The 17,734-nt window shown below is 43.0% G+C and overlaps 1 protein-coding gene across 26 annotated transcripts in view, besides 1 other annotated feature; it reads right to left on the reverse strand.

The window, feature by feature from the left end:
• Positions 1-17,734, reverse strand: part of SRPK2 (SRSF protein kinase 2) — a 284,618-nt gene that overhangs the window by 253,213 nt on the left and 13,671 nt on the right. The gene's annotated exons all lie outside the window — the stretch shown is intronic.
• Positions 9,034-10,020: an enhancer, noted in NCBI's record as "H3K4me1 hESC enhancer chr7:105017433-105018419 (GRCh37/hg19 assembly coordinates)". NCBI's record gives its function as "activates a minimal SCP1, AML or CMV promoter by ChIP-STARR-seq in primed H9 embryonic stem cells {active_cell/tissue: H9 hESC(primed)}" and the evidence as "EXISTENCE:reporter gene assay evidence [ECO:0000049][PMID:30033119]".

A 17,734-nucleotide genomic window follows, 5' to 3' on the forward strand; every position in this document is an offset into this window, starting at 1 on the left:
GTTGATAGCCAAACTGTATACGCTTTTCAGTAATGGGATTTAAAACTTAAGGAGAGTACAGTTACAAAGCTTAGAATCATCTAAAGTGTACATTTAACTGATCACAAAGAAGAGGCAGTGGGCATCAGTGGAGCCAAGGAAAAGAGGAAATTATTTCTATTACTGGTCATGCCTACAGGGTGTTAGTTACTATAAAGAATATTTAAAGACAACCTTGTAGCTACTGAAAAATAAAATAAAAAAAGTTTTTAAAGCTAAAGTAAAAAACATGGCCTTATTGCTTTTTTAGAAAAACTGTTTTCCTGTATTCTAAGATTTTCTATATAAAGCATCTTCCATCCCACTCTCATAGATGCACATGATAAAACCGTGCAGGTCCATGTGACCTGTTAAGGGTCTCTTCAGAGAAAAAAAATTTTTACTTTTTACTTTTCCTCCCAGCAAAGGAAGGAGTTAAAAGTAAGGTTCTTACAATAATCTCTCTTTGAGGACTAGAAACTATTTTCTGTATCAGTCCCAGAAGGGCTTGTCATCCTGCAGCTTAATGGTAGTACAAAAGACCACTGAATCAGCATCCAGGGCTCTAATCCAGCATTCTAAACTGGCTAAGGCACTAAAAAGATAAGTGACTTTCATCAAGAGCCACGCTCTGCTGGCCACGGCGGCTCAAGCCTGTAATCCCAGCACTTAAGGAGGCCAGGGTTGGTGGATCACTTGAGGTAAGGAGTTCAAGACCAGCCTGCCAACATGATGAAACCCCGTCTCTACTAAAAATACAAAAAATTAGCCAGGCATGGTGGCGCATGCCTGTAATCCCATCTATTCAGGAGGCTGAAGCATGAGAATCGCTTGAACCCGGGAGGCAGAGGTAGGAGTGAGCTGAGATCGTGCCACTGCACTCCAACCTAGGTGACAAAGCGAAACTCTATCTCAAAAAAAAAAAAAAAAAAAAAGACTCAGGCTCCTTCAGTCCTTCATTTTTCCCTCAGTGAAAACATGGAATGGTTTAGGGCAATGGACTTCAAACTGTGTTCTTCAAAGCTGCCTTGGGGAGCACCCCAATGGACAAGGGGAAGGCCAGGCGGCAAGGACCAAGCTCTCACCTGCCAATTCTCTCAGAGTAGAGCCACCTTTTCCGCTTTATACATAATAGAGTTCTACACAAGATTTATTTTATTATTATTATTATTATTATTATTATTATTATTATTCGAGATAGAGTCTCACTCTGTTGCCCAGGCTGCAGTGAAATGGCACAATCTCAGCTCACTGCCACCTCCACCTGCTGGGTTCAAGCAATTCTCCTGCCTCAGCCTCCCGAGTAGCTGAGATTACAGGAGCATGCAACCAGGCCCAGCTAATTTTTTGTATTTTTACTACAGACAGGGCTTCATCACGCTGGCCAGGCTGGTATCGAACTCCTGACCTCAAGTGATTCACCCACCTTGGCCTCTCAAAGTGTTGAGAATACAGGCATGAGCCACTGTGCCCGGCCTACACAAGATTTTATTTCACAAAGCATTCTGCTACTACAAAGTAAGGCTGAAAAACATTGATCCAGGTGCTCTGTAAAGTCCAGGCCACTCCACACATTTTCAGACCCACAGCTATACACGATGTATTTCATCTGTGAAAGATGTAGTCAATTTTACATTAATTCTGCAATTAACATTCAGTAACATCTTATTTTAGGATAAAATACATCATGCCCAATCCCCCCAAAAAACTATCAATAGGATATTCTAGAAATAAAAATAATCAACAGGATAAGATTCCCCATAAAAGTGACTGAAGGCCGGGCACAGTGGCTCACCCCTGTAATCCCAGTACTTTGGGAAGATGAAGCAGGCGGATCGCCTGAGGTCAGGAGTTCGAGACCAGCCTGACCAACACGGAGAAACCCCGTCTCTACTAAAAATACAAAATTAGCCAGGCGTGGTGGCGCATGCCTGTAATCCCAGCTACTCAGGAGGCTGAGGCAGGAGAATCGCTTGAACCCGGGAAGCAGAGGTTGCAGTGAGCCAAGATCACGTCATTGCACTCCAGCCTGGGCAACAAGAGCAAGACTCCATCTCAAACAACAACAACAACAACAACAAAAGTGACCAAAGTAGCTAGCTGGCATCAAACACAGTGGCAACCTTTGTACCCTGGATGTTAGAAGTAATGACAGCACCTGGTGACCAAATGAAGCACCCAGCCACAAAAGTAGGACTGCCAAGTGCCAGGAATTTCTTTTAAGTAAATTATCCATCTTATCTCTACTACATCTCAATGAAACTTCGGCTTCCTGGGGATGTTTATTCCTAGCTTACAGTCTTTCCTTACCCTTTCTCCCACCCTATCTACTAAACCTGCCCAACACACACAGTCCATCCAGAGACACATCTAAATTTCAGGAGTTTGGGGGATACAGGTACCCACACTATATGTTCACAAAGTTGAATGACAGTTGTATGTTACAACATACCCAAGTTTAATGCATTCAATCATGTCATCTAGATGCTCCTTCTTATTCCTATCCTTTTAGGCTCCATATTCTAAGACTGATTTGAAAATTATAATGCCGAAAAATATTTACATTAATAATGTTTCAAAGAGATGCCTGAAACAATGCACTCTGGAACTGACAAGCCAATTTTTTTAATTAATTTTTTTTCTTTCTTTTTTTTTTTTTTTTTGAGACAGACTCTCGCTCTGCACCCCAGGCTGGAGTGCAGTGGCACCATCTCGGCTCACTGCAACCTCTGCCTCCCAGGTTCAAATGATTCTCATGCCTTACCCTCCCAAGTAGCTGGGACTATAGGCGTGCACCATCAAGCCTGACTAATTTTTTGTATTTTAGTAGAGACAGGGTTTTACCATGTTGCCCAGGCTGGTCTTGAACTCCTGACCTCAGGCAATCCACCCGCTTAGGCCTCTGAAAGTGCTAGGATTACAGGCATGATCTACTGCGCCCGGCCGGATTATTAATTTTAAACTTACTAGCAAAGCTTTAACTAGAAAGATGTCTATGTGGAGCGTAATTCAAACATCAGTAACAAAACATGGACATATACATTTTGTAGGATTTATCTAGTGAGGCTAAGAATTCAACATAAAGTATTATATATGCCCAAATGTAAGTCAAGGTATTTTCTCAAACAGTATCCCTCAAAAAAGTAGTTTCGATCAGGCATGGTGGCTCACGTCTGTAATCCCAGCACTCTGGGAGCCCAAGGTGAATGGATCACTTGAGGCCAGGAGTTCAAGACCAGCCTGGCCAACATGGCAAAACCCCATCTCTACGAAAAATACAAAAATCAACCAGGCATGGTGGCATGTGCCTGTAATCCCAGCTACTCGGGAACATGGTGAAAAAAAAAAATCAAGTTAGTCATTAAATTCTGACAGTAATAAATGTAATTTGCAGAAAATAAATTTTTAAAACTGTCCCACTGTTTTGCAAACAGGTAGTTTACAAAAATAAAAAATATCCAGTGTCAGTATCATATATGAATTCAAGAAATACTGTATCAGTAGGGCATGGTGGCTCACGTCTGTAATCCCAGCACTCTGGGAGGTTAGGGTGGGAAGATCACATGAGACCAGGAGTTTGAGACCAGCCTGGGCAACAGTGAGACCCCATCTCTACAAAAAAAAAAAAAAAAAACACTAGTCAGGTATGGTAGGTAGTGCATGCCTGTAGTCCCAGCTACTTGGGGGCCTGAGGTGGGAGGATCACTAGAGTCCAGGAGGTCAAGGCTGCAGAGTGAGACCCTGTCTCAAAAAAAGAAAAAGAAATGCTATAATGCTAACTGTTTAGACTGTGGGAAATATGATGTTCTCTCTCTCTACCATCTCCACAGCTTTGCTGTAAATTTACAGTTCTAAAAACATAATTAAAAAATATGTTCCCTGGGCCGGGCACAGTGGCTCACACTTATAATTCCAGCACTTTGGGAGGCCCAGGCAGGCAGATCACGAGGTCAGGAGATCGAGACCATTCTGGCTATCACGGTGAAACCCCACCTCTACTAAAAATACAAAAAAATTAGCCAGGCGTGGTGGCGGGCGCCTGTAGTCCCAGTTACTCAGGAGGCTGAGGCAGGAGAATGGCATGAACCCGGAAGGCGGAGGCCGCAGTGAGCCGAGATAGCGCCACTGCACTCCAGCCTGGGTGACAGAGCAAGACTCCAACTCATAAAAAAAAAAAAAAAAAAAAAAAAAAGTTCTCTAGAAAACCATTTAACTGATTCAAAAAGCACTTATAATGATAATAGTCATTGCTGTTGCAAATCTGAAATGTCTACATAAAACAGCTTCATAAAACAAGAGTGGAAAAGCAGTATTTCTAAATTAATGTAAAATTTTATTTGTGAATTGAAAAATATTTGTAACTAACTTAAGAAATTAAATATCATAAGTAGACATTTGACTATTTCATGTATATCCATAAAGTTTACATGCTCAAATTGTCATAAAATTTAATCTTCTCACTGGGGAATGAGGAAACTTAGAATTAGGGCTGCCTTATACTGAGCTATATAAAGCATAATACAAACTATGAAAGGTTCCTTTGGAGACATACACAACAACCAAATAAAGCACCCCAACCCAAACAAAGGAAAGAAAAAACTCTCTGAGCACTAACTATTCACACAAGTTGTACTATAGCACCAGAAGATTCCATCAAGTTGCTCTACCTTCACCTTTGGTTGGTGGTCATGCGCCTAGAATTAAAAAAGCCTATAAGCTTAAGAATCTGGCAACTCCAGGTAATGATTTTTTTTAATATTGCCTTATTTGAATATATGTAATAATTTTTCCTCTTTGCAAACAGAATACAAGACAATATTAAAAATCTGTGAGTACGACTGGGCATGGTGGCTCACACCTATAATCCCAGCACCTTGAGAGGCCAAGGCCGGTGGATCACCTGAGGTCAGGAGTTCGAGACCAGCCTGGCAAACGTGGTGAAACCCTGTCTCTACTAAAAATACAAAAATTAGCTGGGCATGGTGTCATGTGCCTGTAATCCCAGCTACTTGGGCCACTGAGGCAGGAGAATCACTTGAACCCAGGAGGCGGAGGTTGCAGTGAGCCAAGATAGCGCCATTGCTCTCTAGCCTCAGCGACAAGAGTGGAACTCCATCTCAAAAAAAATCTGTGGGTCCTATTGGACCTGTAATACAAACAGAGCAAGACAAAACTCTCTCTAATCCTTAGTTCCAACATAGATAATACTACCCACCTATACCAACTAATGAAATAATGATAAATTATTTATAAACTGTCAAGATCAGAAAAAAGATACTAATGCTAATGATATCTGAAGGCCATCAACGATAAACAAACGTAATAAATTTTTCTCAAATCTCATTCTCCTTAGACTTCTCTCCCTCAACCGGTTTATCCTTTAACTTTCCTTCCTTTACTTTGCCACAAAAAAAAAAAATTTTTTTTCTTTTCCTTTTTTTTTTTTTTTTGAAACAAAGTCTCACTCTGTTGCCCAGGATGGAGTGCAGCGGCATGATCTTGGCTCACTTCGACCTCCACCTCCCAGATTCAAGTGATTCTCATGCCTCAGCCTCCCTATGAACTGGGATTACAGGCGTGCACCACCACATCCAGCTGATTTTTGTATTTTTAATAGACATGGGGTTTCGTCATGTTGGCCAGGCTGGTCTCGAACTCCTGGCCTCAAGTGATCCGCTCGCTTCGGCCTCCCAAAGTGCTGGGATTACAGATGTGGGCCACCGCGCCTGGCTCACAAAAGACATTTTCTAAATTTCAGACCAAGCCCTCTTCTCTCCACCATCCTCTTTCCTGCAGTAAGCTGACCTTACTGTCGTAAGTGCTTTAAATGTCTCCTTGAAGTCCCAGCTTCCCACCTGCCCATCAGCTCCCTGTACCATACTTCCTTTTCGGTTCTAGTCACTTTCAACTTGGTTATGCCTAAAACAAAGTCTCCCTCATCTCCAAACAATTTCTCCCGACTTTCTTTCTTTTTTGAGATGGAGTCTTGCTCTGTCGCCCACGCTGGAGTGCAGTGGCATGATCTTGGCTCCCTGCAACGTCTACCTCTTGTGTTCAATTGATTCTCCTGTCTCAGCCTCCCAAGTAGCTGGGATTATGGCACATGCCACCACGCCCAGCTAATTTTTATATTTTTAGTAGAGACGGGGTTTCACCATGTTGGCCAGGCTGGTCTCAAACTCCTCACCTCAAGTGATCTGCCCACCTTGGCCTCCCAAAGTGCTGGGATTACAGGCATGAGCCACCGCGCCCAGCCAGTTTCTGCCAACTTTCTTATTCTTCATTAAGTATAACAGTCTAAGTCAAAAAAACCTTTAATTTTGTCATTTTGTATTGCTTTTCTCTTCATGTCCCATAGTTAATTAGTCCTACTCCTGCTGATTCTTCTTTAAAAGAGCTTTTCCAAAATTTAAGAGCCTTAAAAAGGTTCAATGTCTTTGACCTAATATTTCCATTTGCAGGATTCCACCTAGTCTAAGAAAATCTGAAATGCATACAAAGATATTCACTGAAGTAATACCATGCCAGAAAACTGGAAACATCTGTCTAGCAATAGGGAAATATTTAAGCAAATAAAACAAATTAGAATGTTAGTCATTAATAATTAGTTATGAAGTTTTTAAAGACATGAAAAATATACATATATTTTTTTGAGTCAGAGTCTCATTCGGTCGCCCAGGTTGGAGTGCAATGGCGCCATCTCTGGCTTAATACAACCTCCACCTCCCGGGTTCAAGCAGTTCTCCTGCCTCGCCTACGGAGGAGCTGGGAAGGGATTACAGGCGCCCGCCACCACGCCCAGCTATTTTTGTGTTTTTAGTAGAGACAGGGTTGCACCATATTGGCTAGGCTGGTCTCAAACTCCTGACCTCGTGATCCACCCGCCTCGGCCTCCCAAACTGCTGGAATTACAGGCTTGAGCCACTGCACCCAGCCAGCCCATGAAAAATATTTATAACAAAATGTAAAATAAGGAAAGCAGGATACAAAATCATATATAAGAGATGATAATGTAAGTAACAAAAACACAGGAAGAGAAAAAGGCCAGAAGGAAATATAACAAAATATTAGCAACATCCTATCTGTGCATATCATGCTGGCTGGTGAGAATATGAGTCATTTTTGTTTTTTGTCTTTTTATACTCCTATAATTTCTAGATATGGCATATAATATTTTTAAAACCTGGAAAAAATTTATGTTTAAAAAAATGTGTTGCTAATTCAAGACTCTTCAAGGTCTCCCTAAGTAAACTACAAATTCAATATTAACCCAACCCAATAGCAAAACAATACTGAGATAGGGACTTGAAAATATCATCTTAATGAAAAAATATGCAAGAATGGCCCCCAAAAATATAAAATCAAGTGTAACAAGTGGGTATGGGGGTATAAGAGAGCCCTTGCATTTCCAAAAACTGAAATGTAGTCAGGCCAAGCACACTGGCTCACACCTGTAATCCCAACACTTTGGGGAGCCAAGGTGGGAAGACAGCTTGAAGCCAGGAGTTTAAGACTAACCTGGGCAGCAAAGCAATACCCATCTCTATTTTAAAAAGAAAAGAAAATGTATTCAAAATCACAGCGATCAAGGTAACCTGGAACTAGAGCAAGGACAGAGAAGTCAACACACTCAAGTACAGGTGGAAATACAATTGAGTTAGCACAACTAGATAAGCTATTTAGAAATAAATAAGCAAGCAACAAAAGCCTAACAACCACAAAACGGCCAACCTTTACTGAATATTTACCACAGGTCCACAATCCTTGGGACCAGATGTTTCGCTATTCAAGTTTTTTGGGTTTTCCAAAGGTAATATGGCACCCATATCATGTATTATGCAATATTCCAGAACGGTATGGAGAAGCTCACCATAGGTATTTTAAAACATGCAACTTATAGCTGGGCACAGTAGGGCAAACACCTGTAGTCCCAGCTACTCAGAAGGCTAAAGCAGGATCACTTGAGCCCAGCAGTTTGAGTCCAGCTTGGGCAACGTAATGAGAATTCATTTCTTTTTTTTTTTTTTTTTTTTTTTTTTTTGAGACAGAGTCTCTGTCTGCCACCCAGGCTGGAGTGCAGTGTCGTGATCTCAGCTCAATGCAAGCTCCGCCTTCCCAGGTTCACACCATTCTCCTGCCTCAGCCTCCCGTGCAGCTGGGACTACAGGCGCCCGCCACCACACCCAGCAAATTTTTTGTATTTTGTTTAGTAGAGACAGGGTTTCACCATGTTAGCCAGGATGGTCTCTATCTCCTGACCTTGTGATCCGCCCGCCTTGGCCTCCCAAAGTGCTGGGATTACAGGCACAAATCACCACGCCCGGCCAAAAATTCATTTCTTAAAACACACACACACACAAACACACACCCCTACGGCATTCTTCATCTCAGAGCAAAGAGTTGTAGTCCGTCTACCCTCACCCCATCCCATCCCTATCCATTGAAAACCTGTGCTATAATCCCACTACTTCCTGACAACTCAGGATTTTTGCTCCAAATACCCCTTTTCTTGCCCATATTTTCAACCTCTAACTTTCTACTAGCTCCTTGCCATCCTTTTTTTCTTTTTTTTTTTTGGTGAGGGGAGGGTATAGAGTCTCACTCTGTTGCCCAGGCTTGAATGCAGTGGCACGATCTGGCTCACTGCAACCTCCACCTCTCAGGTTCAAGCAATTCTCCTCCTCAGCCTCCATAATAGCTGGGATTACAGGCGTGCACCACCACTCCCGGCTAATTTTTGTATTTTTAGTAGAGATGGGGTTTCGCCATGTTGGCCAGGCTGGTCTCGAACTCCTGACCTCAGGAGATCCACCCACCTCGGCCTACCAAAGTGCTAGGATTACAGTAGTGAGCCACCACGCCCGCCCCCCCACCCCCCTTTTTTTTTTAATAAAAAGCACCTTTTCTCCTTTACACACACACACACACACACACACACACTAAAAAGCTTATTCAATAACTAATCTTAAGAAAAACAAACAAAACAAAAAGGACCCTGCTCTATCTTCCTATTCACTTTTACAGCTGCAAGGTTGCTTTTATTTTAAAACACTGTGCTAAGATAGTTCCAGCTATAGTCTCTAATGATTTTCTAACTGCCAAAAGCAAAGGCCAAGATTAAGGCTCATCTCACTTGAATTTTATCTGCAGACTAACACTGCTGACCACGCCCTTCTTGAAATGCTGTATTCCCTTGGTTTCTGTAAGACAACTTTCTCCTGGGTCTCCCATCTCTCTGGCTCCTCCTTTACCAACCCTACCTGTAGCCTTCTCTTCACATGTTAATGCACCTTCATTCAGCCAGTTCCCTACCATCAGCTATACCTGACAACTCCCAATATATATCACCCTCAACAGAGCTCTTCCCAGTGCTCTAGCTATAAACACTGACCAAACAGCTCTTAAAGGAATTTATATAGAGACCTCAAAAAGGCTGGCCAGGCTGGGCGCGGTGGCTCATGCCTATAATCCCAGCACTTTGGGGGGCGGAGGAGGGTGGATCACCTGAGGCCAGGAGTTCAGGACCAGCCTGGCCAACATGGTGAAACCCCATCTCAACTGAAAAAAAAAAATACAAAAATTAGCCAGCCGTGGTAGTGGCACTGTAATCCCAGCTACTCAGGAGGCTGAGGTGGGAGAATTGCTTGAACTTGGGAGGCAGATGCTGCAGTGAGAACTGAGATCGCGCCACCGCACTCCAGCCTGAGCAACAGAGCAAGACCCCGTATCAAAAAAAAGAAGAAAAAAAGAGAAAAGCCTGGCCAAAGTCACCATTAATTTTTCCGAAACACATTCTGCATTCCCTATTGCAAAAAATGGCAACACCACCCATAAATTTAGCTAATTCAGAAACATGGAATTAATCCTAGAACCCTCCCACTCTCCTCTCACATTAAACTGGACACTAAGTCTAGTGGATTCTGGCCCCTTAATATACATCAGTCTCCTGAAGCCTCATGCAATAGCCTCCCAATGGAGCCCCTGGCCTCTAAGCAACTCCCCACACAATAGCTAAAGGAATCTTTCTAAAAACCTGAGTGTGTACCCCTTAACAGCTCCCCAGTCCTTCGTTTGACTTCCTCAGAGCCCTATTTATTGCTTACCACACCCTGCACTCCAGCCCTACTAACCTGCTTGACATTCCAAGACTACACGCCATTTTAAACCCCACATGTTGACACCAACTGCAGTGTTTCTTCGGCATGGAAGGTCCTTGCCCTGCCCCCTTATTTTACTTGGAGAATTACTGGTTCTTCCAGAACCAGTTTAGAATGCCCTCCTGATTTCCAGTTTGCTTTTAGATTACAAAATGATATCCATAATGATTAGAAAGATACATAACTTATACATACATCCGAAAAAGAAGTCATCTGAAAATCTACAAATTTTTATAAATCAGTAAGAAAAACTTACGACACAATATTTTTTTTAAAGGGTAGGGGGCAAAAGACTTAAAAAGGCGCTTCACAAAACAGGAAACTCAAATGACCAAGAAACATATGAAAAGATGTTGGCTGGGCCTGGTGGCTCACGCCTGTAATCCCAGCACTTTGGGAGGCCGAGGTGGGCAGATCACGAAGTCAAGAGATCAAGACCATCCTGGCCAACATGGTGAAACCCCATCTCTACCAAAAATACAAAAATTAGCTGGGCACGGTGGCACACACCTGTAGTCCCAGCTACTCAGGAGGCTGAGGCAGGAGAATTGCTTGTACTCAGGTGGTGGAGGTTGCAGTGAGCCGAGATCATGCCACTGCAATCCAGTCTGGCAACAGAGAAAGACTCCGTCTCAAAAAAAAAAAAAAAATGATGTTTAACATCATTACTCAGGAAAATGCAATTGAAAACCATAATGAAATATCAATACACACCCATAATAGGTAAAATTTATTACAATGACACTGCCAAGTGTGGGCAAAAATGTGAAGCAAACTTAAGTGTCTTTACACTTGTGGGAGAGTAAAGTAGTTCAATCAAAACTACATCTTTGAGCCTGGGCAACATAGGGAGATCCCATCTCTACAAAAAATTTTAAAATCAGCTGGGCATGGTGGTGCTCACATGTAGTCCCAGCTACTCAGCAGCCTGAGGCAGGAGGATCATTTGAGGCCAGGAATTTGAGGTGGCAGTGAGCTATGATTGTGCCACTGTCAGCCAACAAAGCAAGACCCAGTCTCTAAAAAAAAATATATATATATATATAAAGTCAGCCCTCTGAAACTGTGGACTCTGCATCCATAGGTTCAACCAATCATGAATCAAAAACAATCAAAAGTAAATAAATAATAACAAAATAAAAACTACAAATTAAAAAAACACCATGTAACAACCATTGACATGGTATTTACATTGTATATATATTATTAGTAATCCAGAGATAATTTAAAATATACAGGAGGATGTGTGAAGGTTACAAGGGACTTGAGTATCCTCAGACTTTGTTATTTGAGGGTGTCCCAGAACCAATCCTCCAAGCGTACTGAGGGATGACTGTATATTCTATATGATTTCATTTATATGAAATTCAAGAACAGACAAAACTAATCAATAATGATAGATATCAAAAAAGTTGTTGCTCCTAGGTGGTAGAGTATAGACTCGGGAGAGGCATGAGAAAACTTATGGAGCATTGAAGGGGTTTTATATACTGATCTACATGGTCGTTACAGGGGTATAAATAAATGTAAAAAAAATCATCAAACTGTACAATTAAGACGAATGCACTGGGCCAGGCGTGGTGGCTCACGCCTGTAATCCCAGCACTTTGGGAAGCCGAGGCGGGCAGATCACAAGGTCAGGAGATCGAGACCAGCCCGGCCAACATGGTGAAACCTCGTCTCTACTAAAAATACAAAAATTAGCTGGGGAGTGGTGGCACGAGCCTGTACTCCCAGCTACTCAGGAGGCTGAGGCAGGAGAATGGCTTGAATCGGGGAAGCGGAGGTTGCAGTGAGCTGAGATAGCGCCACTGCACACCAGCCTAGCGAAAGAGCAAGACTCCGTCTCAAAAAAATATGAGTGCACTGCCAGGCATGGTGGTAGGCACCTGCAGTCCCAGCTACTTGGGAGGCTTAGGTGGGGTATCACCCAAACCCAAGAGGGTGAAAGCGGCCTAGGCAACAAAGCAAGATCCTATCTCTAAAAAAGAAAATTAAAATTAAAAATGATGTTTTATCCTTAAGAGGGAGTTTCACTGCGTCGCCCAGGCTGGCACTAAGTGGTGCAATCTCAGCTCAAAGCAACCTCTATCTCCCGTGTTCAAGCAATTCTCCCACCTCGGACTCTGGAATAGCTGGGACTACAGGCATGTGCCACCACTCCCAGCTAATTTCTGTATTTTTAGTAGAGACGGGGTTTCATCATGTTGGCCAGGCTGGTCTCAAACTCCTGACCTCTAGTGATCCTCACTGATCTTTAAAAGATCAATGCACTTTACATACATGCATATACATGTATGCTAGGACTCAATTTTTGAAAAATGAACAAAACCATGCACAAGTAAAAGAATAACACACCAAAACAATTAGATACCCTAAATTAACATGCTAAAATTTTTTTTTTTTTTTTTTTTGAGATGGAGTCTCGCTCTGTCGCCCAGGCTGGAGTGCAGTGGCGCCATCTCAGCTCACTGCAAGCTCTGCCTCCCGGGTTCAAGCAATTCTCCCGCCTCACCCTCCTGCATAGCTGGGATTATAGGCACATGCCACCACGCCTGGCTAATTTTTGTATTTTTAGAAGAGACGGGGTTTCGCCATGTTGGTCAGGATGGTCTTGATCTCCTGACCTTGTGATCTGCCCACCTCGGCCTCCCAAAGCGCTGGGATTACAGGCGTAAGCTACCACGCCCAGCTGCTAAAAAATTTTTAAATTAAAAATAATTAGTGGAGCCACAGCTGACACTTGCTTCTTAAATCTTCTGTATTATACTGAATTCTGTACTGAATTTTTTACCATGACCATATTACTTTTATTACTTTAAAAAAAAAAAAAAAAAAAAAAAAAGCTGGGCCAGGGGCAGTAGCTCATGACTGTAATCCCAGCATTTTGGAAGGCTGAGGCAGGCAGATCACTTGAGGCTTAGGCCAGGAGTTCCTGACCAGGCTCTACTAAAAATACAAAGAAAATAAGCTGGGCATGGTGGCGCATGCCTGTAATCCCAGCTACTTGGGAGGCTGAGGCATGAGGAGCGCCTGAACCCAGGAGGCAGAGGTTACACTGAGCCAAGATCATGCCACTGCATTCCTGTCTGGGTGACAGAGCAAGACTGCCTCAAGAAAAAAAAAAAAAGTTATTTCATTAAAATGACAATATTAAAATGAAATCTGGCCAGGCGCAGTGGCTCAAGCCTGTAATCCCAACGCTTTGTGAGGCCAAGGCAGGTAGATCATGACGTCAGGAGCTTGAGACCAGCCTGGCCAATATGGCGAAACCCTGTCTCAGTGAGCCAAGACCAGGCCACTGCAGTCCAGCCTGGGCAACAGAGCAAGACTCCATCTCGAAAAAACAAAACAAAACAAAACAAAAACAAAAAAACTAAGCACTACTGTACCTAAATCTTACAGTTCTCATCACACTGTCCTGCAATGGTCTTTTCACAAAGCAATCTCTTCTACTTTAATTATCTTACTCTTCTAGCATCCAACACACACCCTGGCACTAGCTATCTGCAGCACTAGGTATTTGCTTCGTGTCCATTTACTGTATTCTACTGTAGAGGTAGTAAGCAAAAATGTTTGTTGAATAAACAAATGTGTAAAAAAATAAGAAATGAAAATTAGGTAATCCATGAGAAGTATTCCAAAGTCATGGGCTTATGAGCTTGAATTTATACTACAGGGAAGTATAAATTCAAGGGTTGAGGCTTACTGAATAAGGATATAAACTTGTATCATTACATTCCAAAACTGTCTCACCAAGCTGGGCACGGTGGCTCACGCCTGTAATCCCAACACTTTGGGAGGCTAAGGCAGGCAGATCATTTGAGGCCAGGAGTTCGTAACCAGCCTGACCAAGATGGTGAAACCCCATCTCTACTAAAAATACAAAAATTAGCCAGGCGTGGTGGCACATGCCTGTAGTCCCAGCTACTTGGGAGGCTGAGCCAGGAGAATCGCTTGAACCTGGGAGGTGGCAGGTGCAGTGAGCCATGATTGCGCCAGTGCACTCCAGCCTGGGCGACAGAGCAAGATGCCATCTCAAAAAAAAAAGTAGAAGCAAAGTATACCCAGATATCCTTTAGCCTGTGAATAAACTGTTAATCCACACAATGGAATACTTGTTACCAATAAAAAGGAAAGCACAGCCAGGCACGGTGGCTCATGCCTATAATCCCAGCACTTTGGGATGCCAAGGCGGGTGGATCACCTGAGGTCAGGAGCTCGAGACCAGCCTGACCAAAGTGGAGAAACCCCGTCTCTACTTAAAATACAAAATTAGCCTGGCATGGTGGCACATGCCTGTAATCCCAGCTACTCAGGAGGCTAAGTCAGGAGAATCGCTTAAACCCAGGAAGCGGAGGTTACGGTGAGCCAAGATCGTGCCACTGCACTCCAGCCTGGGCAACAAGAGCAAAACTCCATCTCAAAAAAAAAAAAAAAAAAAAAAAAAAGGAATGCTCTGCTCACACAGGCAACAACATGGATGAATCTCAAGGGCATTACGCTGCATGAAAAAAGGCGAATCACAAAAGGTGACATACTGTATAATTCCATTTATATAACATTCTCAAAGTGGCAACATTAAGTGATAGAGAACAGATCAGTGTTTCCCAAGCTTAGATTTGAAGAGAGAGTGACTGTTCTTTGTGGTAATGAAACAGTTTGGCATCCTGACTGTGGTGATTATTCTAATCTACACAAGTGACACAATTTGTTAGAACTACACAGAGAGTGCATGTAAAACTGATAAAATCCAAGTAAAATCTTTCTTGAATTAATAACATTGTCTCAATGTCAATTTATTGGTTTCAACAATGTTCTATGGTTAAGATATCAACGTCAGGGAAGTTGAATAAAGAGTACACAAAGAACTCTGTACCACTTTTGCAAGGTCTTGTGAGTCTGAAATTATTTCAAAAGTAAAAATTTTTTTTTTTTTTTTTTTTTTTTTTTTGGAGACAGAGTCTCGCTCTATCGCCCAGGCTGGAGTGCAGTGGCACAATCTCGGTTCACTGCAAGCTCCGCCTCCTGGGTTCACGCCATTCTCCCGCCTCAGCCTCCCAACTAGCTGGGACTATAGGTGCCCGCCACCATGCCCGGCTAATTTTTTGTATTTTTTTTTTTAGTAGAGACGGGGTTTCACCGTAGCCAGGATGGTCTCGATCTCCTGACCTCGTGATCTGCCCACCTCAGCCTCCCAAAGTGCTGGGATTATAGGCATGAGCCACCGCACCCGGCCTCAAAATTAAATGTTTTAATAAAAATTTTACAAGAACAAAAAACAAAACAGAATTTTTTTTTTTTTTTAATTGAGACGGAGTGTCGCTCTGTCACCCAGGCTGGAGTGCAGCGGCATGATCTCGGCTCACCACAACCTCCGTCTCCCAGGTTCAAGCAATTCTTCTGCCTCAGCCTCCCGAGTAGCTGGAACTGCAGGAGCACACTACCATGCCAGGCAATTTTTGTATTTTTAGTAGAGACGGGGTTTCACCCTATTGGCCAGGCTGGTCTCGAACTATTGACCTCGTGATCCGCCCACCTCATCCTCCCAAAGTGCTGGGATTACAGGCATGAGCCACCACGCCTGGCCAGAAATAGAAAAATTTTAAGGAACAATGGATAAATGGATAAAATGTGGCATATTGACACAACTATTCAACAATATAAAGGAATTAAGTACTAATACGTGCCATAACATGGATGAACCTTGAAAACATTGTTCTAAGGAAACCAGACAAAGCCACATACTGTATATTCCATTTACATGAAATGTTCAGAATAAGCAGATTCATAGAGACTTAGAATGTAAATTAGTTGTTGCCAACGCAGGGGGAAGGGGAATGGAGAATAACTGGGAAATAAATATGGAGTTTCTTTCTGGGGAAGTGAAAATGTTATAGAATTAGATAACGGCTGCACAATTTAATGAATAGACTAAAAATCTGTAAATGGCCTACTTTAAAAGGTAAATTTTATGGTATGTGAACTATATCCCAATAAAAGTTATGAAAAAAATAAATGAAAGAGATATTTTAAAAATTGTACCTCCATATAAACATACTATAAGGCAAAAATTTATCCCAAGCTATGTGATGTAGCTAATTCCTAAGATTTGTGACTAAACAGCACTACAGTCCTTCCGTTCTGCCTGTTACTCACAAAGCAGCACAATTAATAATAAGCAAACTAAACTCACAGGACAATCTAACAGGATTAAAATTTTGACCCACTAAATAATCTTAATCTTATTCCTGACAACTACAATTTCCAGTGTACCATAAAAGTAGCCTCTAGGAACTGGCTCAATTCATAAAAGCTCACAGATTTGAAATGAACTAAAATTAATTAAAAGCCTGCTTGTATATACAAAAGTAGATAATGACAAAAGTAAATCATATTATACCAAGCCAGACCCACAGTCACATAATTCAAGTTTGCCAGTCATCATATTAATAGTTTAAAATTATACCTATTACTCCTTTTCCTCCTCTGGAAAATTAATCAAAAAGCAAAAACCGTGCTTCAAGAGACCTGAATTCTGATCCAAACGAAGCTATTGTGGGCTTAACCTGTCAGAGCTGTCTGTAAAATTCGGGGTACCCTGAAAATACTAGTCTCCTGGAGATTCTTTTACCACTTCTCAGGTGCCACTCCTCACACACTCAACGTCACCCGGTTTCCCATGCACTACTGCAGGCCACTTCTGTTTCCACTACTACCCCCATCCCCACAATCTATTCTCCACATAGCAACCTTTTTTTTTTTTTGAGACGGAGTCTGGCTCTGTCGCCCAGGCTGGAGTGCAGTGGCGCAATCTCGGCTCACTGCAAGCTCCGCCTCCCGGGTTCACGCCATTCTCCTGCCTCAGCCTCCCGAGTAGCTGGGACTACAGGCGCCCACACGCCCAGCTAATTTTTTATATTTTTAGTAGGGACGGGGTTTCACCGTGTTAGCCAGGATGGTCTCGATCTCCTGACCTCGTGATCCGCCCGCCTCGGCCTCCCAAAGTGCTGGGATTACAGGCGTGAGCCACCGCGCCCGGCATTTTTTTTTTTTTTTTTTTTTTTTTTTGAGATGGAGTCTCGCTCTGTCGCCCAAGCTGGAGTGCAGTGGCACAATCCCGGCTCACTGCAAGCTCCGCCTTCCAGGTTCACGCCATTCTCTCGCCTCAGCCTCCCGAGTAGCTGAGACTACAGGCGCCCGCCACCATGCCGGGCTAATTTTGTTTTTGTATTTTTAGTAGAGACGGGGTGTTAGCCAGGATGGTCTTGATCTCCTGACCTCGTGATCCGCCCGCCTCGGCCTCCCAAAGTGCTGGGATTACAGGCGTGAGCCACCGCGCCCGGACAGCAGCCCTCTTTTTAAACAGGAATCAGAACCTGTCCCTTCCACATGTAAGCCTCCAATGGCCTACGAGGGTAGACACGCTCTGACTCCTGCCTCCCATCAACCTCTCTGGGCCACTCAGGCCACTCTTACTTTTGGGTTTCTCGAATACTTCCAGCCCATTCCTCCCCAGGGCCTCTGCCACACTGGATCTCCTCCTCATTCTCGATCCT

Source organism: Homo sapiens, chromosome 7 (genome assembly GCF_000001405.40).
Source record: "Homo sapiens chromosome 7, GRCh38.p14 Primary Assembly".
NCBI lineage: Eukaryota > Metazoa > Chordata > Mammalia > Primates > Hominidae > Homo > Homo sapiens.